The sequence below is a fragment of the Homo sapiens genome, chromosome 22 (genome assembly GCF_000001405.40).
Source record: "Homo sapiens chromosome 22, GRCh38.p14 Primary Assembly".
Taxonomy (NCBI): Eukaryota; Metazoa; Chordata; class Mammalia; order Primates; family Hominidae; genus Homo; species Homo sapiens.
This window is the reverse complement of record NC_000022.11, coordinates 26,454,371-26,480,073: the sequence shown is the minus strand read 5'-3', so window position 1 is coordinate 26,480,073 and position 25,703 is coordinate 26,454,371. Positions and strand designations below refer to the sequence as shown.

Genomic DNA, 25,703 nt, shown 5'->3' with positions numbered 1-25,703 from the left:
CTTTGAGGAAGAACAGAGGGTCATGGAAATTCAGAACAAAGAGATATCTCTGGGCCGAGGGAATCAGGAGACGGTTAATGAGGAAGTGTGCTTGAATGATACTTGGTGAGGTTTGGCATGGTAGAGAGGAGTTCAGAGTTTCTCTGTAAATTCTCATAGGCCCCTGTTTTTTCCCTGTTACGAACTTTTGGACTCACTATCCTGCATTGAAACTGCGTGTTTGCTCAGCAACCGCGGAGCACACTGTGGGCCCTCAGTAAATGTTTAAGTGAATGCATGAATTCCTGGTAGAAGGGCTGTTTCTGGAAATCTTTGTGCTCAGCACTTATGAGGAGTGCATCTAATACATCCCTAACTTATTTTGTTATCAGAGCCTTAAAAGACAGCGTATCAGACCATGTGGTTGTATAGTTAAGGTTCAGTGTTTCAAATAAGAGCAGTCATTGTGGGCGCCTCGTTTTTTTTTCTAGCTACTCGTGTCTTCTCCGGCAGATGGTCTAACGGCTGGATAGAGGCATATTTTTAGTTTGAATTTCCTGCGCTTACAGAATGGTTTTATCTAATTTGTAGCTACTGGGGTTCTTTATTCTCTGGGGCCACCTGAAGGCTTTCAAACACAGTAATAAGCCCTCCTCGGGCTGGGAAACAGGAAGCTGTGTTTTAAATGCCGTGATCACTGGATTAAAGGAAACATGGCTCCACTCTGTTCTCTTGCCAGGTGGAATTATTTTTTTCTTTATGATGGTTCCAAGGTAAAGGAAGAAGGCGATCCAACAAGAGCTGGCATTTGTTACTTTTATCCTTCCCAGGTAAGCCACACAGCATTTTATTGTTCAGTGAGGATCCCAGTGCCTCCAAGTGGTGACTTTTCAAAAGTATGGGGTTTACATTAGGACAGTTTGGCTAATCCAGACAATGACATTTCTACTGTCTTATTCTTAGTTGTACTATTTCTTGTTGTTCTGGTCTTAAAATTTCCAGGCAGCTCGGCACTTTCATCGTCTTTAGCTTTCTATTTCCATCATGATTTTTGTCTGCCTCCCTCTACCCCCAATTTTTTGATCAGCTTGGTTTTTAAAAGTTATTATTCTGCTGGGCACGGTAGTTTATGCCTGCAGTCCCAGCTCTTTGGCAGGCTGAGGTGGATGGATCACCTGAGGTCAGGAGTTTGAGACCAGCCTGGCCAGCATGATGAAACCCTGTCTCTACTAAAAATCCCAAAATTAGCTGGGCGTGGTGGCACGCTCCTGTAATCCCAGCTACTTGGGAGGCTGAGGCACGAGAATCGCTTGAATCCAGGAGGCAGAGTTGCAGTGAGCAGAGACTGCGCCATTGCACACCAGCCTGGGCAATAAGAGTGAAACTCCATCTCAAAAAAAATAAATAAATAAGTTTGTATTCAAACATATACAAAAACAGAGAGGCAAGTATCATGAACCCTCATATGCCATCAGTAGCTTCAACAATTATCAATACTTTGCCGATTTTTTTTTTTTTTTTTTTGTGATGGAGGCTCACTCTGTCACCCAGGGTGGAGTGCAGTGGCATGATCTCTGCTCACTGCATGCTCCACCTCCCGGGTTCATGCCATTCTCCTGCCTCAACCTCCCGAGTAGTTGGGACTACAGTCGCCCGCTACCACGCCCGGCTAATTTTTGTATTTTTAGTAGGGACGGGGTTTTACCATGTTAGCCAGGATGGTCTCGATCTCCTGACCTCGTGATCCACCCACCTCAGCCTCCCAAAGTGCAGGGATTACAGGCGTGAGCCACCACGCCCGGCAATACTTTGCCAATTTTATGTGACCTATCTGAACCTCTTCTTCTCTCTCTTTTTTTTTTCCTGGAGCAAATTCTAGATGTTGCGTCATCTCACCAGTATCAAGCAACATCTCTAACTGAAAAGGGCATTATTTTGAACATTACCACACCTAACGAAAGTTACAGTAATTAGTAACAGTAATTCCTTAATATTACCTGATACCCAGACTGTATTCAAATTTTGCCTTATTGTCTTGGATATTACTTATTCTGCTCTTCCTTCCTTCCATGCACCCATACTTCCATCCTTCCATTTCTTTTTCTTTTTCCTAATAAGGATCCAAACAGCATCCACATATTCTATTTGGTTATTTTGTATTTTAAGTCCTTTTAATAACAGTCCTCACCCAGCCACTCATCTTTTTCCCCCTCCTCTATGCCATTGAATTATTGAAGAAACCAGGTCATATGTGTAGTAGAGTGTTAGAATGTCCCACACTCTAGATTTGGCTGATTTGTTCCTCATGGTGGTGTCATTTAATGTCTCCTATCCACTGTATTTCCTTTACATTAGTAGTAAGATCTAGAGTCTTGGTGAGGTTCAAGCTCAGTTTTCTAGGTAAGAATTCTTCATGGGTGGTGTATACATTTCCTGTGTATCCCATACTGTCTGGCTGTCCTGTGCGTTAGTTAAGGCTAAGGTTGATTAGGAGATTCTGTACATTCCCTCCTGTGACTGTGCTCTGACATGGATAGTTGGGGTTAATCTGCATCCCTCTGGCCACTCCGTATGGGGGATTTGAGTAGGAGTGAAAGGCTCATGCTTCTGCTAAGCATATGCCTATAATCCTAGCAACAGAAATGCGGTTCTGTGCAGTCATCGCATGTGTTCCTGCTGGGTGTTCTCTTAGGGTTCAGTCATCTCAGGTAGGGGTTGGCAAACTTTGTAAAGGGCCAGAAAGTAAATATTTTAGGCTTTGCAAGGCACATAAGGTTTCAATCACATGTTCTTCTTTGTTGTAACCTTTAAAAAGTATAAGAACCATTCTTAGCTTACAGGCCATAGGAAAACGGGTAACAGACTGGATTTGGCTTGCAGGCTTTAGTATGCTGTAAGAAATGACTTAAGAGTTCAAGAATTTCAGCTTCCTATCTGGAATGTGCTCCTTTCCCACAGACCCTGCTAGACCAACAGGAGTTGCTTTGTGGACAGATTGCTGGAGTTGTCCGCTGTGTTTCTGACATTTCTGACTCTCCTCCTACTCTTGTTCGTCTGAGAAAACTGAAGTTTGCCATAAAAGTTGATGGAGATTACCTTTGGGTAAGTTGAATGGCAGAATCAGTGCTGAAGTGTTGCAATGATAAGTTTAGGAAGTTATGTTGTTTCTGAGTCTTGAATTTAGAATTATCTGCCCCCACCAACCTCATCCATGTACTGTGTTTAGTAATCACCCTCGCTTCCTGTGGTACTCTCTGCAGGTTTTCATCATCAAGTGCTTTCCAAAACATTTCTAACATATTCTGCATTGCACACAGCTGGTTTCTCCTTTCCTTTCAAAGACTTAGGCCAACTTGTGGAAATTCTGTTTACTCTGTGTTGTAAATTGAGTTTTTATCATCATCTTTTCTTCTCCATGCTCTCTACACTTACTGGGTAAGTGACCCAGAAAAAAATGATAGATATATGTTAGGTTTTAGAGAACCCATTAAAAAAAAAAAAAGAATATTGCTTGAGTCCAGGAGTTCGATATCAGCCTGGGCAACATAGTAAGACCCCCGTCTCTATAAAAAATTTAAAAATTAACCGGGTGTGGTGGCTCATGTCTGTGGTCTTAGCTACTGGGGAGGCTGAGGGGAGGATTGCTTGAGCTTAGGAGTTTCAGGCTGCAGTGAGCCATGATTGCCACTGCACGCTAGCCTAGGCAACAGAGTGACACCCTGTCTTAAAAAAAAAAAAAGAATAAAAATCATTCCTTTACATTCTAATAGTAGCATATAATCTAAAGTGCTGTTTCCCATGGCTACATTTATTTTAAGGCTTCCTGAGGTAAAGGGATGCTTAAGTGTGGGATGCTATATTCAACTTTGTAGGTATTATTTCCAACATTTTATTACGAAAATTTTTTAAAGTACTGAACAGTTGAATTTTACAGTGAATACTCATATACCTCCTCAATTCTACAGTTAGCATTTTATTATAGTTGTTTTATTACCTATCTATTCATTCCTTTATCCTCCCATTAATTCAAATTATTTTTATTTTATTTTATTGAGACAGGGTCTCAATCTGTTGCTCAGGCTGGAGTGCTGAGGTGTGACCTTGGTTTACTGCAACCTCCGCCTCCCAGGCTCAAACGATCCTCCCATCTCAGCCTCCTGAGTTGCTAGGACCACAGGCATGCACCACCATGCCCGGCTAATTTTTTAAACTTTTTCTAGAGGCAGGGTTTCACCATGTTGCTCAGGCTGGTCTTGAACTCCTCAGCTCAAGGAATCCTCCCGCCTTGGCCTCCCAAAGTGCTGGGATTACAGGCGCGAGACACTGTAACCCAGCCCCAAATTATTTTGTTACAGTTTTCAAAGTAAGTTGCACACATTAGTGTACTCTCCACACAGATACTCTCTCTATCATGCATATCATCAACTAAAATTTAATGTTTGGGGCTGAGCGCTGTGGCTCAGGCCTGTAATCCCAGCACTTTGGGAGGCCAAGACAGTCGGATCACCTGAGGTCAGGAATTCAAGACCAGCCTGACCAACATGGAGAAACCCTGTCTGTACTAAAAATACAAAATTAGCCAGGTGTGGTGGCACATGCCTGTAATCCCAGCTACTCGGGAGGCTGAGGCAGGAGACTCTCTTGAACCTGGGAGGCAGAGGTTACAGTGAGCTGAGATCGCGCCATTGCACTCCAGCCTGGGCAACAAAAGCGAAACTCCATCTCAAAAAAAAAAAAAAAAAAAAAAGAAATTTAATGCTTGTTTGTGGTTACATGCTTTACAGGCGTCTGTCTTGCCACTTAACACTTGTGAAATTCGTTCATGTTGTTGCATCTATCAGCGTTCGTTCCATTTTATTATCAAACAGTATTCCGTTGTCTGAATATATCACAATCTGTTCTTCTTTTGATGGACATCTGAACTGTGTCCAGTTGGGGATATTAAGGATAAGGCTTCTGGGAACATTCCTATACAAGTATTTTGGTGAACACGTGTTTTCATCTCTCCTGGGTAAATATCCAGTCCTGGAATTGCTGGGTCATAGAGTAGGTGTATGTTGGATTTTATAGGAAACTGTTAGAACTTTTCCTTCAGTGGTTGTACCATTTTACATTCCTACCAAGAATGTATGAGAATTCCAGTTACTCCACCTGCTCATCAGCATTGAGATTGACAGTCTGTTCATCTTAGCCATTCTGCTGGATGTGCAGTGGTGTGTTATTGTGGTTTTAGTCTTCACTTCCCTGATGACTAATGATAGTGAGGCCTTTTCATGTGCTTAATGACCACTTGAATATCTTCCTTTGTGAAGTGTCCATTCAAAGCCCTGCCCATTTTTTAAATTGGGTTTTATTTTTTTAATTGAATTGTAGTTCTTTTTATATCCTAGATACCAGTTCTTTGTCAGATACATCTTTTTAAAATAATTTCTCCCAGTTTGTGGCATGCCTGTTAATTTTCTTGTTGTCTTTTGATGAGCAGAAGTTTTTCATTTTAATGAAGTCTAACTTATAAATTTTATCTTTTTATGGTTATTGCTTTCTGTGTCTTGCCTGAAAAAAACCACTGCCTACTCCATTGGAGGAGATAGTCTCCCTTTTTTATTTTTTGTAAGAATTTGATAGTTTTAGCTTTTAAATTTAGATCTGTAATCCACTTTGGGTTAATATTTGTGAATGGTGTGAATAGAGGTCAAGGATCTTTTTTTTTTTTTCCACCTGGATAACCAGTTCTTCCAGCATCATTGTTGAAAACATTTTCCTTTCCCTATTGGATTTCCCTTTGGTTCCTTTGCCAAAGATCAGATGACCATTTAAGCGTGGGTCTATTTCTGGACTCTTTTCGGCTTTTCCACAGATCTGTTTGAAGATTCTGTGTGAGTACCACACTGTCTTGATTTCTATAGCTTTATAGTAAGTCTTGAAACCAGATAGTATAAGTTCTCCAACCTTATTCTTTCTCAAGATAGCTTTGGATATTTCAGGTTCTTTGTGTTTTCATTGTACAATCAGTTTGTGGTTTCTGAAGAAAAGCTGGTGGGATTATGATTGCAATTGCATTCAGTCTGTTCATCAATTGGAAGAATTGAACACTTCTTACATGCCAGACTGTTGTAAGCTCTTGGATTACATCTGGGAACAAAGCAAAGATCCTTGTGCTACTGTAGCTTACATTCAGAGGGAATTTTTGTTTATTTGTTTTCTGTCAGGGTTTATTAGTTTAAATATCTGATGATTCCCTTAGGACAGATTCCTAGAGGTAGAATTACTACATCAAGTAATAGGAACTTTTTCAGGCTCTTTAAACATATGACCAGATAACTTTCTAACTCAGCAAGTACTTTTTTTTTTTTGAGACGGTGTCTCGCTCTGTTGCCAGGCTGGAGTGCAGTAGCGCAATCTCGGCTCGCTGCAACCTCTGCCTCCCAGGTTCAAGCGATTCCCCTGCCTCAGCCTCCTGAGTAGCTGGGACTACAGGCACACACCACCACGCCCAGTATTTTTAGTAGAGACGGGGTTTCACCATGTTGGTCAGGATGGTCTCGATCTCTTGACCTCGTGATCCACTCAAAGTGCTGGGATTACAGGCATGAGCCACCGTGCCCGGCCAAGTATTTATCTTCTGTGGAACTAACCACTACGCTCAGCATTTTGGAGATCTAGGACTGGGAAGATTGCGGTCAGTTCTTGCTCTTAAAGCACTCTATCCAGCTGGAGAAACATGATGGCCATTCATGAAGGAGTTTGAGTCCTGTCCATTGTTTGTAATGGAATCCAGATTAAACATCTACTGTCCAAATAACAGTCCTAACAATGCAAGGGTCAGAAAAAAGGTCAGCATTATTGGCTCGAGGTAATAGAACAGACCTCATGGAGATACTGAAATTGGTGGTGGGCACTGAAGGTTGTAAGTTCTGGGGAAATGAACAATAAGGAAAAGGACATTTGAGATTGGAAAACATGAATTGAGGTACAGAACTTACTTGTCCATGGAGATTAACTTGGCCAGAATGAAGGGTGTGGACTCAGGGACAATAGAAGATCAATTTCGATGGGCCAGTGAAGTCAGGTAATTGAGAGCCCTGGATGCCAGGATTCTGGGCTTGGACTCAAAGAGAAGGAAGATGCTTGTCTTCCTGGTTTCTCTCTTTACAGGTGCTGGGCTGTGCTGTGGAGCTCCCTGATGTCAGCTGCAAGCGGTTTCTGGATCAGCTAGTTGGATTCTTTAATTTTTACAATGGACCTGTTTCCCTAGCTTATGAGGTACAAGTATGGGGTTGAGGAGTCTTACATTGGGCCTCTTTATAAAAACCGGTATTGCCAGAATGCAGCACTTACTCTGGGGTCTTGTATACTTCATATAAACACATTGTGTCTGGGGACAAGGTCAGGAGCTCTTGGAGGCCCCTCATATGCCTTTGGGCCTAGTGGCATAGGTCACATTTATTCCAAATGTTTATCCCCATCTCCTCCCTGGGATGTTTAGAAAGCGCAGGCCCTGCTTGCCACCCCCACGCGGCAGGCGCCGTGGATCTGTGATGGGATAGGTTTAAAACAGGTCCTCCCTTCCGGTCAGTTTCCTGTGTGAGGAACAATTTTTGAGGTAGTTGGGACTCTGGCCAAAGAATCTGTCCCTCAAAATCTCAGATATTGACCTGAGGCTCTTTCTGTTTTAGAACTGTTCTCAGGAAGAACTGAGCACGGAGTGGGACACCTTCATCGAGCAAATTCTGAAAAACACCAGTGATCTGCATAAGATTTTCAATTCCCTCTGGAACTTGGACCAAACTAAAGTAACATTTTCATCCTCCTTATTCATTTTATATGTAAGACTAGGGCTTCTGGATACTTTTTTAATATTCCTGAAGTGAACTATATCTGGAAAAGTGAGTAGAATGTCACTTCTCAGGCAGGGCCATGACACGGCAGGTCACCTCTCAGCCTCATTTCCCTTATCCAAAGAATGGTGTCAGCATACCTGCCTTCTTGAACTGTTTTGATGATCAAGTGAAGCAGTACCTCAAATGACACCAAGTAAATGCTCAGTAAAGGGAATTAGTATTTTGTTCATGCCTCAGAAGTGTTGAACTCAGTAATCTGAAGGCCGCCTCTCTTGATATTCATATCATATGATCTAGTTATTCTCAGCATCAAAAATGCCCAGCATGAACATTTCAAAAACAAGGTTGCTGTCTTTGAGAGAGAATGGTTGGGAACTGTTTTTGTATCTCTGAGCCGCTCCGTTTGCGGTTGGCACTCAGTGAAACCTAGGCTGCTTGTGTGGCTGGCCTGACCACCTGTGCTGCCCCATTAAGAGCCAGCTACCTGAGCCCTGACTCACAGCCCTCTCCTGTGTCTCACTGCGATAGTAAATAATGTCCCTGTAGCAGGGGTGTAGCACTGTGGCTCAGCCTTCACAGAGCATGACTCCACCAGACATGGGGAAGGGTTTTCCCTGCTCCAGTCTGGAAAACTTCCTGTAGCTGGCCCCAGAGCTTTATAGAATGGCTGGCTGGGATGGCACAGTCTTGAGGCTATGAAGAATAAACTTCTTAATGTGTCAGCAGCTCCGGAGGCTCCATTAACACTAGTTCTAACAGCTGGTGGATACTTGCTGGTTCTAGCTGGCAGGTGGAAGTCTGAGGAGGCTGCTGGTTATTGCTGGCTCTTCCTGACCAGGTCCAGATGCTTTTCTTGTATTTTTAGGGACTTCTAGGCCCCTGACTCCATACAAGGAATGTGGAACTGAGGCATATTTCCCCGAGTGAAAGAGCATGATGTTTTCATTTTATGTGATGGAATAGAGTCATGGAACCTGGTCAGACATCAAGCCACCTGTATCACCATGGGGATTGTGCTTCAGAAGGAAAGTGGAGGATAGGGTAGGTGGGTTTCACCTGGTACCATGACATGTATTTATAGGATACACCCTCCTCTTCTGCTGCCGTGAGGTCTTAGCATTGTCAGGGTAGACAGTCGGTCTCCCAGGCCATCTACTTTGACCCCTTTGAATAGCCATATGCCATATTTGCTGCACCTTCTAGCTTCTGGACAGGCCTCCTTGTTCTAAGAATTTGGCATTTAGTGGTGTCAGCAGTTCTGAGTATAGAGAGGTAGAATAGTCCCAAGCCATGGCACAGCTTTCACTGTGTGACACATTCTCCTTTTCCAGGCTTTGAGCTACACCCTGTCCAGCTGTTCTGTACAACCCTTTCCCCTTTTCTCCCTTCCTGATTGTGAGCATGCTGATGGGTGGGCATGATGCCTCTTGCCCTGCACAGGTGGAGCCCCTGTTGTTGCTGAAGGCAGCCCGCATTCTGCAGACCTGCCAGCGCTCGCCTCACATTCTCGCTGGCTGCATCCTCTATAAAGGACTGTGAGTAACTCCAGACCCCTTTCTTCCAGCCCCATTCCCTTGCTGCACAACTGACCATCAGCCACCTCCAGATCACAGTGGGGAGCCCAGTCTCTGGCCAGTTCCAAGTGGGCTGGTTCGGCAAATATCAGGTAGTTTAGATTTGACTCAGTTTAGAAAGACAGGTGTGTACCTGTCTTTGAGCAAAGCTGAGAAATTGGAAATAGTTGTGTTCAGAAAAGAGTTAAGAATGTCCCTATAATTCTCAGTATGGGGCATGCTGGAATAGTTGTCAGTCTGCAAAATGCTAATGCAGAGTCCCGAGCGTTGCCAGCAGCCAGCACTGTAGTCAAGAGGCATGGAAGGGGCCTGCTGTGACCCTCCTCCTGCTGCCCAGAGACCCTGGTGTGCTTGCCTCAGCTCAGCTCTGCAAAGCAGCCTTACAGGCCCTTATCCAGCTGCCTTCAAGCCTCTTGGCTGGGCCAGTGTCTTGGTTGGCCTCTGAGAATTCACTTCACTTCTTCATGTAGTTGGAGGGCTTCTTGGTGAATCTGAGTGCCCAAGAGCCACTCTAGGTCATCTAAGGCCTCTCTCCTCATGGAGGGTTTGCTGTCACAGCCCAGGGCAGGCAGGGCCATTGCGCTGTGCCCGGAGCTTCCTGAGGAGCAGGCAACTACTGTGTAAATGGAGAAGCACTGAGGCTCTCGCAGGGGCCCTTGGGCCAGACAGGCTCGGCCCCAGATCCTCCCTTCTTTCGCCAGCCATGCGGCCTTGGGCAAGTTGCTTAGCCTCAATTTTCTCTTCTGGGAAATAGACATCCCTTGTGAAGAATGAAATGAGATGACAGATGCGGAAGAACCGAGCATAGACCCTGGTGGGCTTTGCACTCTTCTTCCTTGCCCCGGTTCTTATCATGATGGTTCTGAATCAGCTGTGGGATTTCCAAGTTCGTCAGTGACATACCCACCAAAGACAGTATTTTTTTTCCCCTTTTCTCATTTTGCATTTCTTAAATGTATATATATATATTTTTTTTTCTTTTTTTTTTTTTTGTAGGGACGAGGTCTTGCTATGTTGCCCAGGCTGGTCTCAAACACCTGGCTTCAAGCGATCCTCAGCTTCCCAAACTGCTTGGATTATAGACATAAGCCACTGCACCCAGCCTGTATTTACATTATACGGCTAATACATGAATACATTTTCACTGTAAACAAATCAATCAATAGAGGAACACACAGAGCACAATTTAAAAGCCCCCCTTCTTTCTTCACCATTTTTGTTTGTTTGTTTTTGAGACACAGTCTTGCTTTGTTGCCCAGGCTGTAGTGTAGTGGCATAAACACAGCTTACTACAGCCTCGACCTCTTGGACTCAAGTGATCCTCCCACGTAGCTGGAACAACAAGCACTTGCTACCACACCTGGCCAAGCTTTTGATTTTTTTTTTTTTTTTTTTTGTAGAGATGGGATCTCACTATGTTGCTCATGGAGGTCTCAAACTCCTAAGCTCAAGTTATTCTCCCACCTCAGCCTCCCAAAGTGCTGTGATTGCAGGAGTAAGCCACTGTGCCCAGCCTCTCCCTCACTCTTAACCTGTCCTCACCATTGGCAGTTTGGTGGGCATCTTGCTCTTTCTGTGTGTTTGTCCCCACTGGTACATGTATGCATATATTGCTTTTGTTTATTTTTGCTATCTCCTTAAATAGGATCACATGGTTTCTCAACGCATACAGTGAAGATTTCCTTACCGGTTCATATGGGTCTACCTCATTCTTATGAGGACTGCATACTTTTTGGGATTCTGGCTGTGTTGTGCTTTACTGTCTTGTTGATGAACATTTTGGTGGTTTACTCATTTTTTAATTGTTTTTACCATTCTCCCTGTAATGAATATTCTTACGCATACATCTTGGTACAAGCTGAGTCAAAGGGTTTGGATATTTTAAATGTTGGTAGGAACTGCCAGAGTGCCCTCTGTAAGGGTTTTACCAGTTGAAACTCCCACCAGCCAAGTCCCCAAGATCCTCGTCAACACGGGCTGTTAGGCATCTTTAAAATTTGGAGTGTTTTGGTGTATTTCGTCTCATGGTGTTCTTGTTCTGTGTGTGACCTCCTAGGATTGTCAGCACCCAACTCCCGCCCTCCCTCACCGCCAAGGTCCTGCTTCACCGAACAGCACCTCAGGAGCAGGTATTGTAAAGTCCACCCACCTGGCTGGACAGCATCCCCCAGAGCACTGGTCACTGAGCCTGAGGCTGGAGGGATCAGGAGCAGAGGCCGTGGAGCAGTTGTTTCACTTGGTCTTGTCAGGACCCCAAGTCCTCCAATGTCATTCTCCTCAGTAGTGAAGCCATTGGTGAGGCTGAAAGAAAATGTTTTCTTCCACGAGCTAGGCCTGGATAGTTGTTTTTTCTTCAAACCAAGGAAATCTTGGTTGAATTCGACTTCCCATAAGAATTTGATGTCTCTTTATGTCAAAGAGATGTTAGACTTTTCAGAGACAGACTGTAAAGGATGTGTCTTTAGAAAGATTTAGGGGGTTGGGCACGGTGGTTCACACCTGTAATCCCAGCACTTTGGGTGGCTGAGGTGGGCAGATCACTTGAGGTGAGGAGTTCAAGACCAGCCTGGCCAACATGATGAAACCCATCTCTATTTAAAATACAAAAATTAGCTGGGTGTGGTGGTGCACACCTGTAAATCCCAGCTACTTGGGAGGCTGAGGCAGGAGAATCGCTTGAACCTGGCAGGCAGAGGTTGAGGTGAGCTGAGATCGCGCCACTGCACTCCAGCCTGGGTAGCAAGAGTGAGACTCTGTCTCAAAAAATAAAAATAAAAATAAAAAAATAAGGAAAACAAACTCTTCTAAAATACTTCCATTTTATATTTATTTAATTGTTTTTATATTGAAAAAAAAGCCATGCATGCTCATTGAGAATAAAATTGCCCATCTTTGAACTGTACAGGGATAGCCACTGCCAGCATCTGGCATATCTCCTTCCAGTCCTTTTTTTGTTTTGTGTATGAAGCTGTGGTTTCCAGCGTATCATGAGGCTGTCTTTTTACATGTATTAGTGAACAGGCATGTAAAATGCTGGTAGGGCTCTATTCAGCCTCCTCAGCCACTGTGGCTATGGGTGTCAATTCAAGTAGCCTTTCTGGGAAACACTTTGATAATGAGAACGTTAAGGATGCCCTTTATTTTTTTCCTAATAATTTGACTTCTAGGAATATATCTTAAGGAAATAATGTAACTGCTGAAAAAAATTTATACTCAAAACTTGATCACAACAAGCTTTATGAAAGTGAAAAATCAGACAAAACTTGAATGCTTAAAGTAGGAGGTGGCAAATTATGGCCTGTGGGCCACCTGCCTACAAATGAAGTTTTATTTGGCTGCTTTTGAGCTATAATAGCAGAACCAAGTAGGTGGGACAGAGACCATATGCCCTGCAAAGCCAAAAATATTTACTGTCTTGTCTTTTGCACAGAAAGTTTACTAATTACTGGTCTAAGGTAGGTAAATGATTAATTTACTCATATCACTTAAACCTTCATAAAATTTTAATCAGCCGTTTAAAATGGCCAAAGATGTTTTAGTGGCAGGAAATGCGTGTTACTGTTTTAAGCAGAAATATGAAATTTTATATAGTGTGGCCTCAAAAGTATAAAAACTGCATAGGCTTAAGGAAAAAATACCCAATATTAATAGTACTAGCTTGGGGATGAGGGATTGTATGTGATTTTTTTTTTCAACGCTTTGTCTAGAGTAAATTGAGGTTAGGCTTAGTAATCTAAAACATAGTTTTTTAAAAATCACCAAAAAAGGAAGAACACCATATCATTCTAAGATTGAAAGTCATTTTGGCTAGAAGAGCAGTTCTTGTTTGGTTTGGTTTTGTTTTGGTGGGTTCTTTTGGAACCCTCAGATTGAAACGAGAGATGTTTTCATTTTTGAGAAAATCATCAGGTTTTAGGCCCTGATTGTGAACCAGAACAAACGAGAGATTGGGTATAGCATTTTGTTTAAGTCAAATCCTTTATCGTGAGAGTCACAGTATTTTGACATTTTTATTATAATGGAATTTATGTGAATTCTACATCAGGGCTGTGGCAGATGTGACTGTATTCTAGAATATGAGTTCCCCAAAGGTGTAAAAGAGAACAGGAATCCTCAATTTTATTCCCAGAAGGGAGAGAGACTGAGAAAATCAGAACGTAGAGTGTGATGTGAGTTTGGGTGGAGCTGCTGCCTTGCAGCCTGTGTGGGCCCAGGTTCTTGCTTCATCCCAGCCATAGTGGGAGCCAGCAGCTTGGGGGAGCTTCTGTTCCATCTGCTTGGCTCTTAGCATGTGGTTGGGACAAGCTTTCTGGGCCTGGCTAAGTTTTATGAACAGATGGCACAGCAAATTCCTGATGGTTAGGTCAAGAGGAGAATGTGGTGCCCAGCGCCAACTTCTGTGTGTGTTTGTTTTCAGAGACTCCCTACGGGAGAGGATGCCCCGCAGGAACATGGTAAGTAGTGAGGCGCATGGTTGCCTCTTGAGAACGGCGGTCTTTTATGCTACCTACCCCTGTACAAGTTATGCGAAGGAAACCAAGCCATCTGCATGTTTATTTCCTCTGCTCATAATAGGAAAATGGATGTTATGGAGCTTCAAGAATCGAGTTACCCACCAGAACCCTAATGGTAAAGCTATGATTTTAGGCATGCTGTCAAATCCCTGCTTTCAGACCCTCCTTAACTTCATATTGTGAGACTGCTCGGTCAAGTGCCAGGAGATTGTGATTGGGAGAGGGTAAGGCAAACAGCGACTGCCAGAAAGACCTTTTGCAGGATGTGGAGGCGTCCTCAGGAGAGTTATTTCGATTTATTCTGAAGCCTGAGTTGGAGCAGATCCCTTTCTTAGCTTATATCTTCTTCTTGTAAAAGTGCTTTTCAACCTTTCTCTCCCGAACATCTTCCTTCTCCAAAGCTGGGAGTCATGTTGCCTGCAGGGACTCTTTCCTTACTGGGCCCAGGAGTTCGAGGTGCAGTTTGGCAACCTGTGTCCTGGCTGAGGAATGCACTCACAGCACCCCTTTCCGAGCCCACGTGTGGGTTGGATGCATCACGCCAGTGCAGCTATTGCCCCGCTGCCCTCTCTGGCTCAGGGGAAAGTCCTGTTCATATTGCTTTGCAATTCCAGGAGCGGCATTGCCCCCGAATGTCCAGATTATCCCTGTTTTTGTGACCAAAGAGGAAGCCATTAGTCTCCACGAGTTCCCGGTGGAACAGATGACAAGGTAATGGAGTGCACAGAGAGTTAACCTTGCACCACACCTGAGGGACCCCATCGCGTGATTGGTTAAAAAACAAACCTCTGATACATCCCATCGTTCCTTAATTCCATCTTCCCCATGCCCTGTCTTGTAAAGGAGCATCTGAATCTTGAGTTTGTTAAGAAACAGAGTGGCATAGAGAGATGACATTGGCTTTCATATCCCAGCTCTCTTACTTATACCAGCTATGGGACCTTGGGCAAGTCCATTCCCTGCCTGAGCCTCAGTTTTTTCATCTGAAAAGTAGACAAAATAGTATCCCTTTCATGAGTTCATTGTGACACTTGAAAATAGTATAGGTACAGCACCTAGTATAGGGCCTGATGCGTAGGAGACCTTCCAGATGTGGGTCAGTCTTATTCAGTGGGCTCTGCCATTTTCAGTAGGTGAGTCTGGTGTCACTACGTAAAGCCCCAAGGGCCAGATGTTGGTGTATTTTTACTCTTGTGATTTAACTCTGGTGGCCTCTTAGGCTCTGTGGCCTCAGGCACCCCCTTGTCCTTGATGCCTGTGCTTTAGTCTTCACTGTGGAAGGGCACTTGCCCTGCAGTCTGTCAACGTGCCCCTTCCTTACATCTCTCTTGTTTGCCAGGTCTCTAGCATCTCCAGCAGGACTCCAGGATGGTTCAGCCCAGCACCATCCAAAGGGTGGGAGCACATCTGCCCTGAAAGAAAACGCCACTGGCCATGTGGAATCCATGGCCTGGACCACCCCAGATCCCACATCCCCTGACGAAGCTTGTCCAGATGGCAGGAAGGAGAACGGATGCTTGTCTGGCCATGATCTGGAGAGCATCAGGCCCGCAGGACTGCACAACTCTGCCAGGGGTGAGGTTCTTGGCCTCAGCTCCTCCCTGGGGAAGGAACTAGTCTTTCTCCAAGAAGAACTCGACTTGTCTGAAATCCACATTCCAGAGGCTCAGGAAGTGGAAATGGCCTCAGGTCATTTTGCCTTCCTACATGTGCCTGTTCCAGATGGCAGGGCTCCTTACTGCAAGGCATCTCTCAGCGCCTCCAGCAGCCTGGAACCCACGCCTCCTGAGGACACAGCCATCAGCAGCTTGCGCCCTCCCTCTGCTCCTGAGATGCTGACCCAGCATGGAGCCCAAGAGCAGCTCGAAGACCATCCTGGCCATAGCAGCCAAGCCCCCATTCCCAGAGCAGACCCTCTCCCCAGAAGGACCCGCAGGCCCTTGTTATTGCCTCGCTTAGATCCAGGACAGAGAGGAAACAAGCTTCCCACGGGGGAACAAGGCCTGGATGAGGATGTTGATGGGGTCTGTGAAAGCCACGCAGCCCCTGGTCTGGAATGCAGTTCAGGCTCAGCAAACTGTCAGGGTGCTGGCCCCTCTGCAGATGGAATCAGCTCCAGGCTGACACCAGCAGAGTCCTGCATGGGGCTCGTGAGGATGAATCTCTACACTCACTGCGTCAAAGGGCTGGTGCTGTCCCTGCTGGCTGAGGAGCCGCTGCTGGGAGACAGCGCAGCCATAGAGGAAGTGGTGAGTGTCCTCAGACCTTCTCCTGCCCCTCTGCGGCCTCTGCCGATCTCCTGTGCTTCCCTCACAGCACTGTGCCAACACCCAGGGAAGAGATAAAGGCTCAGCCCTCAGTTGTGTGACCCTGGGCAAGACGTTCTTGTTTAGACGATGGAGGTATTACCTGCCTCTGTGGGTTTTTGTGGGGGGTAAGAGTGAGTCAAGCGCATAGCACTGGTGGTGCATTGGCATCCAACAAGTGTTGGTTCTCTTCTTCCGCTGTTTCTAGTTTTGCAGAGCGCAGGCCTTGGAGAAAGGGAAGGCCTGAGATGGAATCCTGGCCCTTGTCCTCTAGCTGTGTGAACTTGCCCACAGACCTTTGTCCCCTTGAGCCTTGGCTAACTCCTCAGTCACGTAGGGATGGTGGTAGACCTTCCTGTTCCAGATGCAGTGAGATAATGCAGGCAGAGACTGCACACGTACGTGCATGTGTTGTGCCGCCCCTGCTCATGGCCTCATTTCCTAGCCTGGACAGCTCTAGGTTCTGTGTCAGCTGGAAACTCCTCCGCAGTGTGTCACAGCCTGGGTTGGGAGTTCCCTAGAAACCCAGTGTTTCCCTCCATAGCCCCAGCATCGTACCTGATCTGAAGCTCCTTCCTAGAAGGCTGGGATGTCTGAAATCCTGCCTGGCTCTGGAGGGCTCTTAAACTATTGCAGCCCCTTCCCCGCTTAGAGGCTTAGAGTGGTAAACTGACCTTCCCTGGGGCCCACGCTGGAGATTCGTTGCTATAGTAACAGCCTTGCTTTAGTAGGCAGGGAAAGTGGTAGCAGTAAGAACAGCAGGTTGAAATTGCTGCAGGGCAAATGGTGTCTTGGGGCTTTCCTTGTTTTTATTCTTAAATGTGTATTATTCTAAGCTGATCTTACTATCATGCAGGGCTTGTGACCCTCCATAAATGAGCTAGTCACCTTGAAATACAGAAGAAGAGATAAGACTGCACAGCAGCTTCCTTGCACAGAGCTCCTAGCAAGAGAATGCTCTCTGGAGCTGTCAGGCTTCTCTGTGCCCTTTCCACAGACGCTGGATCACTGAGTTATGGCTCATTTGCTTCCTGTATCCCCATTCACCATAGCTAGGAGTGACTATCCATCTCCTTCTTATAGCAGTGCGGGGAGTTGTGGCTGCAGTGTTAAATGCCTCATCTCCCTGCCAATGCCTTGGTTTTCATGGTCTGTTCTGCACAGTGTCGAGCCTTGGAAGTGTCATTTTGAAGGGCCCAGTGTTTGAATGCAATAAAGTGGATATAATACCTCTCTTTTTACCTTCCCCCACAAAAAGGAAAAAATAGCCCAGGCTGCTCTTTGAGATGTATTCTGCACCAACTATATGTGAAATACTTCGCATCTCTCGTTTTAGCCAAGCCTTAGAACAGTTCTGGGAAGGAGGCATTGTAACTCCCATTTTACCAGTAAGAAAACAGCCTCATTGAGATGAAAAGACTTCCTGCAAGTGGCAGGTCCAGAATTCTTGCTTGTTTCTGGTTCCCCACCCCAGCCTCTCTGTCCCCCCACTGCCCTGCCCTTGCAGTGATAGCTGGGAAGCTGAAGAAAGGGGGTCAGTGTCCTGCCTTCTGTGGCTCGTGCTCTATGGCCATATCCCCTGGTTTGTCAAGGTCTATCCATGCTGTTACGACATCAGCCTCCATGGGCTTCTGTGGAAAGCAGGGTTTGATGCTGGCTAGGCCCCGGGAAATAGACTGCAGTTTTATGGAAGAGAAAAAGCTAATCTTTTCTTCTTTTTTTTTTTTTTTTTTGAGATGGAGTTCCGCTCTTGTTGCCCAGGCTGGAGTACAATGGTGTGATCTGAGCTCACTGCAACCTCCGCCTCCCCGGTTCAAGCGGTTCTCCTACCTCAACCTCCTGAGTAGCTGGGATTACAGGCATGTGCCACCAGGCCCGGCTAATTTTGTATTTTTAGTAGAGACGGGGTTTCTCCATGTTGGTCAGGCTGGTCTCGAACTCCTGACCTCAGGTAATCTGCCCGCCTCGGCCTCCCAAAGTGCTGGGATTACAGGCATGATTGCACCCATCCCTGAAAAGCTAATCTTTTCTAGTATGGAGTGACTAACTTTGATCAGCCCACTGGTTTGAGAGTGGGTTTGTTAATCAGACCCAAAGGATTTCTGTTTTATAATCAGGAAGAGGTGTTTGATTGCCTTTTTGTCCCAGACTAGCCTTGAAAATACTTTATCTGATTTCCCTGCAGCCCCTCTGCTACTGTCTAGAAAAACCAAATACCCCCAGTTACGGTGAGCACACCCCTTTTGCAAGGGCTCCTTAATGATGTTACATACTGCCAAGCTGCCCTTGTGTCATTTGGCTGTCTTGTCTTTGGGTGGATCAGCTTCCACAGGGAGTAGGGGTAGGGTGAGGGGCAGCAGGGGTTGGGATTGGTGAAAGGAGCCCTGGGTGGAGCAGCCAGGAGGGTTGGGATTGGGGCTGGAATTCCCTCAGAGGGAGTGGAATAGGCTCACACCAGGGGGCAGCATAGAGCCGCTGATAGTCCATTACTCAGACCCCAAGATAATCTCCTTGACCTTCAAACACAGTGATCAGATTAATTATTTATCACTACAATAGGACATGGAGCTTCTGTGTACAGTACATGAGGCTTGAAGTTAGTGTGAGAGTGTTGCCATAAAACATTTTATGAAAAAACACCTTCCCCCAACTGGGAAACCGGTATCTCTAAGTGAATGTGTGTTCCATGCATTGCTCCTGCTGCACGCTGTGTCACACACTGACATTTGTGCCACTTGCTTTCGTGTGCACTAGAAGTCAGAGGACCCGGGAATTAGCCTCAGCTCTGTGTTGCCTAGGGCTGTTGTGAGGATCACATTATGTAGCAGTATATATCGGTGGCTGGCAAACATTTTATGTAAAGGACCAGAAAGCAAATATTTTCAGCTTTGCACAGCTTTTCAGCTCTGCTGTTGCAGTACAAAAACAGCCATAGACAGTATATAAATGGTATGACTGTATTCCAGTAATTATTTATGGACATGGAATTGGAACTTCATATAATTTGCACATGTTACAATATTATTCTTTTGACTTTTTTCCCCAACCAAGTAAAAAAATATAAAAACCATTCTTAGGTCTCAGACTGTACAAAGATAGGCAACAGGCTGGATTTAGTTTATAGGCTAGAGTTTGCTGACCCCTGGTATGTATGAAAGCACTTGGTTATCAGTAAAAATTATCCACATGTCATCTGACATAGCATCTTGTGATTAACTGTGTTTTTATGGTTAAGTGATCCTATCTTGAGTGCAAGTTAGGCAGAAGATTTTGGAAGCAAAGCTCCGTGCCTGTGGGGAAACAGTTTTTGGCATGGCTCACTCTCTGTTCTTATTGTTTCTTCCTCTGGACACCAGCTCAGCATGGAAGGGATGACTGTTAGCACGTTCTTGAGGTCCAAAAACTTTCAGTGAGGCTGTGGTTTGACTTCATCAGGTGAATGCTTATGTGTGCCCGTGTGCGTGTCGGCACATGCACACACACACATCTGTTCAAATAAGAGGCTCAGTGTTAAACGCAGTGTTGGTCAGGCTCTCTCAGTGATCTGAACATGAGATATTATGATTGTCTTTCCTGAGCACATATCTTTTTACATAGCTCTGCAACCTTGGTTTAAACCAAATAGCTCATAAATTGGCAGTGCTTGGCATTGGATGTGTTCATTTATTCATTCATTTAGTGGATTCATTTATTGAGCACCTACTAGGAGTCAGACACTCTACTAAGCATTGAGGATACAAAACTGAGCGCATAGAAAATAACTTTGTATGTCACACCTATTGACTTGAAATATCATTTCTGAGACTTTCATACAGGAAAACTGATTTAACACCAATATACTCCCAAAATAACATGTAAGCTTCATGACATTTACTTCAGAAGCATTCTGTTTGCATCTCTGTACTTTTTATATGCACTTATTTTTCTTACATAGCTGTTGAAAAATAGTCCACAAATTATCTGTGATCTCTAAAGAGACACCATTTCTTTTATATGATTATTTTCATTTCCTTGACTTTATAAAAAGACTCTGCCTCAGGATAGCACTTTAGAGTTTACAAAGGACTTTTGGATGTGTCATTTCATTTAAGTCACTCAATAGTCCCGTACTGTTCCCATTTTGCAGTTGACTAGAAAAATGAGGCACAGAAAACTTGGTAACTTGCTCCTGGTCATTTGACTAAAAAGAGGCTGAACTTGGGATGTTTTTTACCTGGGAACTGCAAATGTTTGGGGACAGTGACCTTCTTTCTTGTGGCTGAAGCAGGCCCAGGAAACCCCATTTCAGACCAAGCCTATTATGACAGGCCTGGCCTACTGAGTCAAGCCCTCAGTGGAGCTTGAGGAACACTGCACAGCCATTAAAGAATTATATGATAGAATATTTAAAGACGAGAAAAGCAGTTCATGCTGTGTTGTTAGGTTAAAAAACTATCAGTCATTATTTATGATTTGATCTCATTTTTATTTTACAGAAAAAGAGTTACACAAAACAGTTTAGTCCAGTCTTTTCAATTGTACTTAAACTTTATCTCCTTGGAGGTTTGTAAAAATACAGGTACTTGAACCCATCTCCTTGACAGTCGTCCTCAACTGTATTCCTCTTCTGAACCATCAAGTGCAGAAAGCTGTTTGACTGACACTCAGTCCTTCCAAGAAAGCCAGGACCGTGCTAGGTGTAGCAGAGAGAAGTTACCGTGTTACATCCAGTGAGGGACTTCTGTACCCAGGGCCAGTGAGAAACAATGCGGGATGGTCCCAGGCTGTTTGTATTGTGAAATCATGCAGCCTGGGTAGGAAAGCCATGGTTAAAATAAGATACACCACAGTGGTGACAGTGGCTATTACTGGATGGTGAAATGATGGGTTGTTTTCTTGTTATTTTTTTGCTCATCTCTTTTCTAAATCTCCTACAATATAATCATTATTTTTAAAAACATTAGAACATAAGGGTGAAAGAAAAATGTTGGTGAGAGTCCATTTTGCTGGATCAAGTAGGCAGTAAGATACTCCATGAATGATTTTTTTTTTTTTTTTTCGAGACAGAGTCTCACTCTATCACCCAGGCTGGAGTGTGGTGGTGCGGTCTCGGCTCACTGCAGCCTTAAACTCCTGGCTTAAGTGATCCTCCTGCCTCGGTCTCACAAAGCACTGGGATTACAGGTGTGAGCCACCGTGCCTGGCTGGAGGATTTTTTTTTTAACTAAGTCTGTGGTTAACTAGCCCTCAGAAGGCTTGCTGAGGTCAGCCCTACAAGCCCATGACCCTCTCCCCCTTTGCAGTACCACAGCAGCCTGGCTTCACTGAATGGGCTGGAAGTCCACCTGAAAGAGACGCTGCCCAGGGATGAGGCAGCCTCCACGAGCAGCACCTACAACTTCACACATTACGACCGCATTCAGAGCTTGCTGATGGGTAAGAACCAGCCAAGGGGCCTGGGGCGACGGGGATGCCAGATTCTAGATGGGTGGAGATGAGAACTTGAGCCCCAGCATCATGATGACACGGCTGTGCACAGAGTTGTCTGACCTGCGTTCAGGGCTCTCTTCTCACCGGGAGCCCAGTCCCACTGAGTGTGGCGTTCACTGGGCAGACGCTTCTCTGCTCATGTGTCTGTTTTTGGCGTTTCCCAGTGTTTTGAGAGAAGTTCATGTTCACATATCTGTGATAGGGTTTGTCTCAGAATGTTGAGATCCACACGCAGAAACCGGGTGCTGCATCGCACAGCGGCGGCAGCCGAAGCCCAATGCCCCGGGCCTTTGTCTCTGCCCCGGGCAGCCAACTCATGGCCTTGAGCCGTGCTCAGTCCCCGTGTTCAGTACTGGGCTTCATGGGGTGGGAGGGCAGAAGGTAACTGTCTGCTCTTCACAACTCTGTGTCCTCTTCTGGAAGCAAACCTGCCGCAGGTGGCCACCCCGCAGGATCGCCGCTTCCTCCAGGCCGTCAGCCTGATGCATAGCGAATTTGCCCAGCTGCCCGCGCTTTATGAAATGACTGTCAGGTGAGCCTCCCTGAGTCGCTCCCCAACCTACTCTCCACGGTCCTGCTCATGGGAACCACCTGTGGGGCCCAGGCAGCGCCTTATTCCTAAGTAGATGAAAAACATTCTAGTTACTCTCCTTAAGGCCTTCCTTTGTCGGTTCCTATTGCCGCCATCATCCACTGTTGTGCAGTCACGTGCCATGGACTTTCTGGTTCCCTTCCTACTTTAGACGCTTGGGGTCCAGCAGTGAAGGAACCTGAGGTCCTCACCATCATGGAGCTACATCCATTACTAGGGACGGTGGCTCCGTCTCCTTGCTAGAAACAGTGTTGAAATATTGTTGTCTTTCTAATTACAAAGTAATATGGCTGGGCACAGTGGCTCACACCTGTAATCTCAGCACTTTGCGAGGCAGGGGGATCACTTGAGGTCAGGGTTCAAGACCAGCCTGGCCAACCTGGTGAAACCCTGTCTCTACTAAAAATACAAAAAATTAGCTGGGCAGGGTGGTGGGTGCCTGTAGTCCCAGCTACTCAGGAGGCTGAGGCAGGAGAATCACTTGAACCCGGGTGGCAGAGGTTATAGTGAGCTGAGATCACACCATTGCACTCCAGCCTGGGCAACAGAGTGAGACTGCGTCTCAGAAAAAAAAAAAAAAAAAAAAAAGTAATACGTGCTGATCATACAGTCATGCAGAATGCTTGGAAATGTATCAAGTAAAACATTTTCCTCTCTCATCTCCATCACACACCAGGAAATAACCACATTTTACAGTTTGGTATATATTGCTCCAGGTTTTATTGGTTTTTGGTTTTTATTTTTTGCACATATAAATTGTATTTTTAATTATTTTAAGTCTTCTAGAAAATAGGATTCTACTAATGTACAATTTTACAGTTGTCTTTTTTCACATTATGTCATAGCTTGAACACCTCCATGCCAGAAGAAATATTATGATTATTGTAATTTACAGTATTTAACCAACCGAATTTGTTTTTTTCTTTCTATATGCTTCTCTTATGAAACCAGAAAGGGAGTTTGGGCTTTAAAGATCACTTTATAAAAGCCCGAGGAGACTGGGACCTGAGAATTTGGTTGACAACTGGTAACAGAAAATAAAGCAAGTTAGCAGGTCAAGGGCAGTGCTGGCAATGTGTATATTAGTCCACGTAGTCCTTGGAACCATCTGGTCAAGGGCATTATTTTTTATTTATTTATTTTGAGATGGAGTCTCACTCTCGCCAGGCTGGAGTGCAGGGGCTCAGTCTCGGCTCATTGCAACCTCTGTCTCCTGGTTTCAAGCAATTCTTCTGCCTCAGCCTCCTGAGTAGCTGGGACTACAGGCACCTGCCACCATGCCCAGCTAATTTTTGTATTTTTAGTAGAGATAGGGTTTCACCATGTTGGCCAGGATAGTCTCAATGTTTTGACCTAGTGATCTGCCCACCTTGGCCTTCCAAAGTGCTGGGATTACAGGCGTGAGCCACCACGCCCGGCTTCAAGGGCATTTTTTAAATCCTCATTTTACAGATGAGAAAATTGAAGCACAAATAGGATAAGCAGCTTGCCCAGGGTTATATTCTTCTTAAGTGGCAGGGCCAGGATTTGAAGCATTTTCTCCAACTGTTAAGCACATGTATGACCTTTCCACACACATTTCAGTGTCGGGGCAGTGTGGTCCAGTGTGAGGGGCATGGGTGGTGGACTGACAGGGAGCCTGGGTGGGTGATTAGGATGGTTCTGATTCCCTGTCACCCGCCACACTTGAGCGCCAGGTGTTCTGCTGCCTCTCAGCGTCTCCAGCCAATATTCCAATAGATCTTTCTGTCAGAAATGTGTCTTCTCTGGCTTTAATTCACAGCTGCCCCAGGCTGGCAACCCAGAGGCAACTTGCATCTACAGTCACTGGTTTGGGAACTGGCTGTGTTGGGGGTGTGTGTGTCTGTTTTGTGGGAGGTGGAAACAAGTAAAATGTCAGCATCTGCTCCACCAACCACCTTGTGGCCCTGCAGTATGTCACCTTCCTTAGAGCTGAGAGGGGTTTAGTGTTGAGACACATAGCTCAAGGCATTTGTTGAGAGATTATTTCAATAACAGTAATAGAAACAACAGCTACCATTTCTTTTTTTTTTTAATTTTATTATTATTATAAGTTTTAGGGTACATGTGCTGTGCACAACGTGAGGTGTGTTACATATGTATACATTTGCCATGTTGGTGTGCTGCACCCATTAACTCGTCATTTAGCATTAGGTATATCTCCTAATGCTATCCCTCCCCCCTCCCCCCACCCTACAACAGGCCCCAGTGTGTGATGTTCCCCTTCCTGTGTCCATGTATTCTCATTGTTCAATTCCCACCTATGAGTGAGAACATGTGGTGTTTGGTTTTTTGTCCTTGCAATAGTTTGCTGAGAATGATGGTTTCCAGTTTCATCCATGTCCCTACAAAGGACATGAACTCATCATTTTTTATGGCTGCATAGTATTCCATGGTGTATATGTGCCACATTTTCTTAATCCAGTCTATCGTTGTTGGACATTTAGGTTGGTTCCAAATCTTTGCTATTGTGAATAGTGCCGCTATAAACATACGTGTGCATGTGTCTTTATAGCAGCATGATTTATAATCCTTTGGGTATATACCCAGTAATGGGTTGGCTGGGTCAAATGGTATTTCTAGTTCTAGATCCCTGAGGAATCGCCACACTGACTTCCACAATGGTTGAACTAGTTTACAGTCCCACCAACAGTGTAAAAGTGTTCCTATTTCTCCACATCCTCTCCAGCACCTGTTGTTTCCTGACTTTTTAATGATCGCCATTCTAACTGATGTGAGATGGTATCTCATTGTGGTTTTGATTTGCATTGCTCTGATGGCCAGTGATGATGAGCATTTTTTCATGTGTTTTTTGGCTGCATAAATGTCTTCTTTTGAGAAGTGTCTGTTCATATCCTTCGCCCACTTTTTGATGGGGTTGTTTGTTTTTTTCTTGTAAATTTGTTTGAGTTCATTGTAGATTCTGGATATTAGCCCTTTGTCAGATGAGTAGGTTGCGAAAATTTTCTCCCGTTCTGTAGGTTGCCTGTTCACTCTGATGGTAGTTTCTTTTGCTGTGCAGAAGCTCTTTAGTTTAATTAGATCCCATTTGTCAATTTTGGCTTTTGTTGCCATTGCTTTTGGTGTTTTAGATGTGAAGTCCTTGGCCATGCCTATGTCCTGAATGGTATTGCCTAGGTTTTCTTCTAGGGTTTTTATGGTTTTAGGTCTAACATGTAAGTCTTTAATCCATCTTGAATTAATTTTTGTGTAAGGTGTAAGGAAGGGATCCAGTTTCAGCTTTCTACATATGAACAGCTACCATTTCTTAACCACTCACAATGTGTTAAGCACTCACTTAATCTCATTCTTTAAAACAAAACAAAACAAAAACACCAATGAGGACACATACTGTTGCAACAAACACTGTACAGATGAAAAAGCTGGGACTCAGAAATGTTGAATAG

The 25,703-nt window shown here is 44.9% G+C and overlaps 1 protein-coding gene across 58 annotated transcripts in view, besides 1 other annotated feature; it reads left to right on the top strand.

Moving 5' to 3' along the window:
• HPS4 (HPS4 biogenesis of lysosomal organelles complex 3 subunit 2) overlaps window positions 1-25,703 on the top strand; it is a 40,755-nt gene that overhangs the window by 3,790 nt on the left and 11,262 nt on the right. For 18 of the 58 annotated variants that reach the window (XR_007067985.1, XR_007067986.1, XR_007067987.1 and 15 more), the window contains 11 exons: window positions 719-809; window positions 2,938-3,081; window positions 7,135-7,242; window positions 7,656-7,772; window positions 9,261-9,355; window positions 11,451-11,523; window positions 13,812-13,848; window positions 14,523-14,619; window positions 15,248-16,157; window positions 21,497-21,629; window positions 22,107-22,215. Coding sequence is in view for 41 of the 58 variants with exons in the window: in NM_001349905.1 (NP_001336834.1) it covers window positions 719-809; window positions 2,938-3,081; window positions 7,135-7,242; window positions 7,656-7,772; window positions 9,261-9,355; window positions 11,451-11,523; window positions 13,812-13,848; window positions 14,523-14,619; window positions 15,248-16,157; window positions 21,497-21,629; window positions 22,107-22,215 (1,914 nt within the window). In the remaining 17 variants the exon portion in view is untranslated. Of the gene's footprint in view, window positions 1-392; window positions 810-2,937; window positions 3,082-7,134; window positions 7,243-7,655; window positions 7,773-8,685; window positions 8,862-9,151; window positions 9,356-11,450; window positions 11,524-12,174; window positions 12,850-13,811; window positions 14,024-14,522; window positions 14,620-15,247; window positions 16,158-21,496; window positions 21,630-22,106; window positions 22,216-25,703 lie in introns of those variants that run through there. The other 40 variants (XR_007067983.1, XR_007067984.1, XR_001755361.3 and 37 more) reach the window with 14 other exon arrangements.
• Window positions 7,915-9,114: an enhancer, noted in NCBI's record as "CDK7 strongly-dependent group 2 enhancer chr22:26866926-26868125 (GRCh37/hg19 assembly coordinates)". NCBI's record gives its function as "activates an origin of replication core promoter dependent on BRD2, BRD4, P300/CBP, MED14 and CDK7 cofactors, with strong dependence on CDK7, by STARR-seq in HCT116 cells {active_cell/tissue: HCT116}" and the evidence as "EXISTENCE:reporter gene assay evidence [ECO:0000049][PMID:35650434]".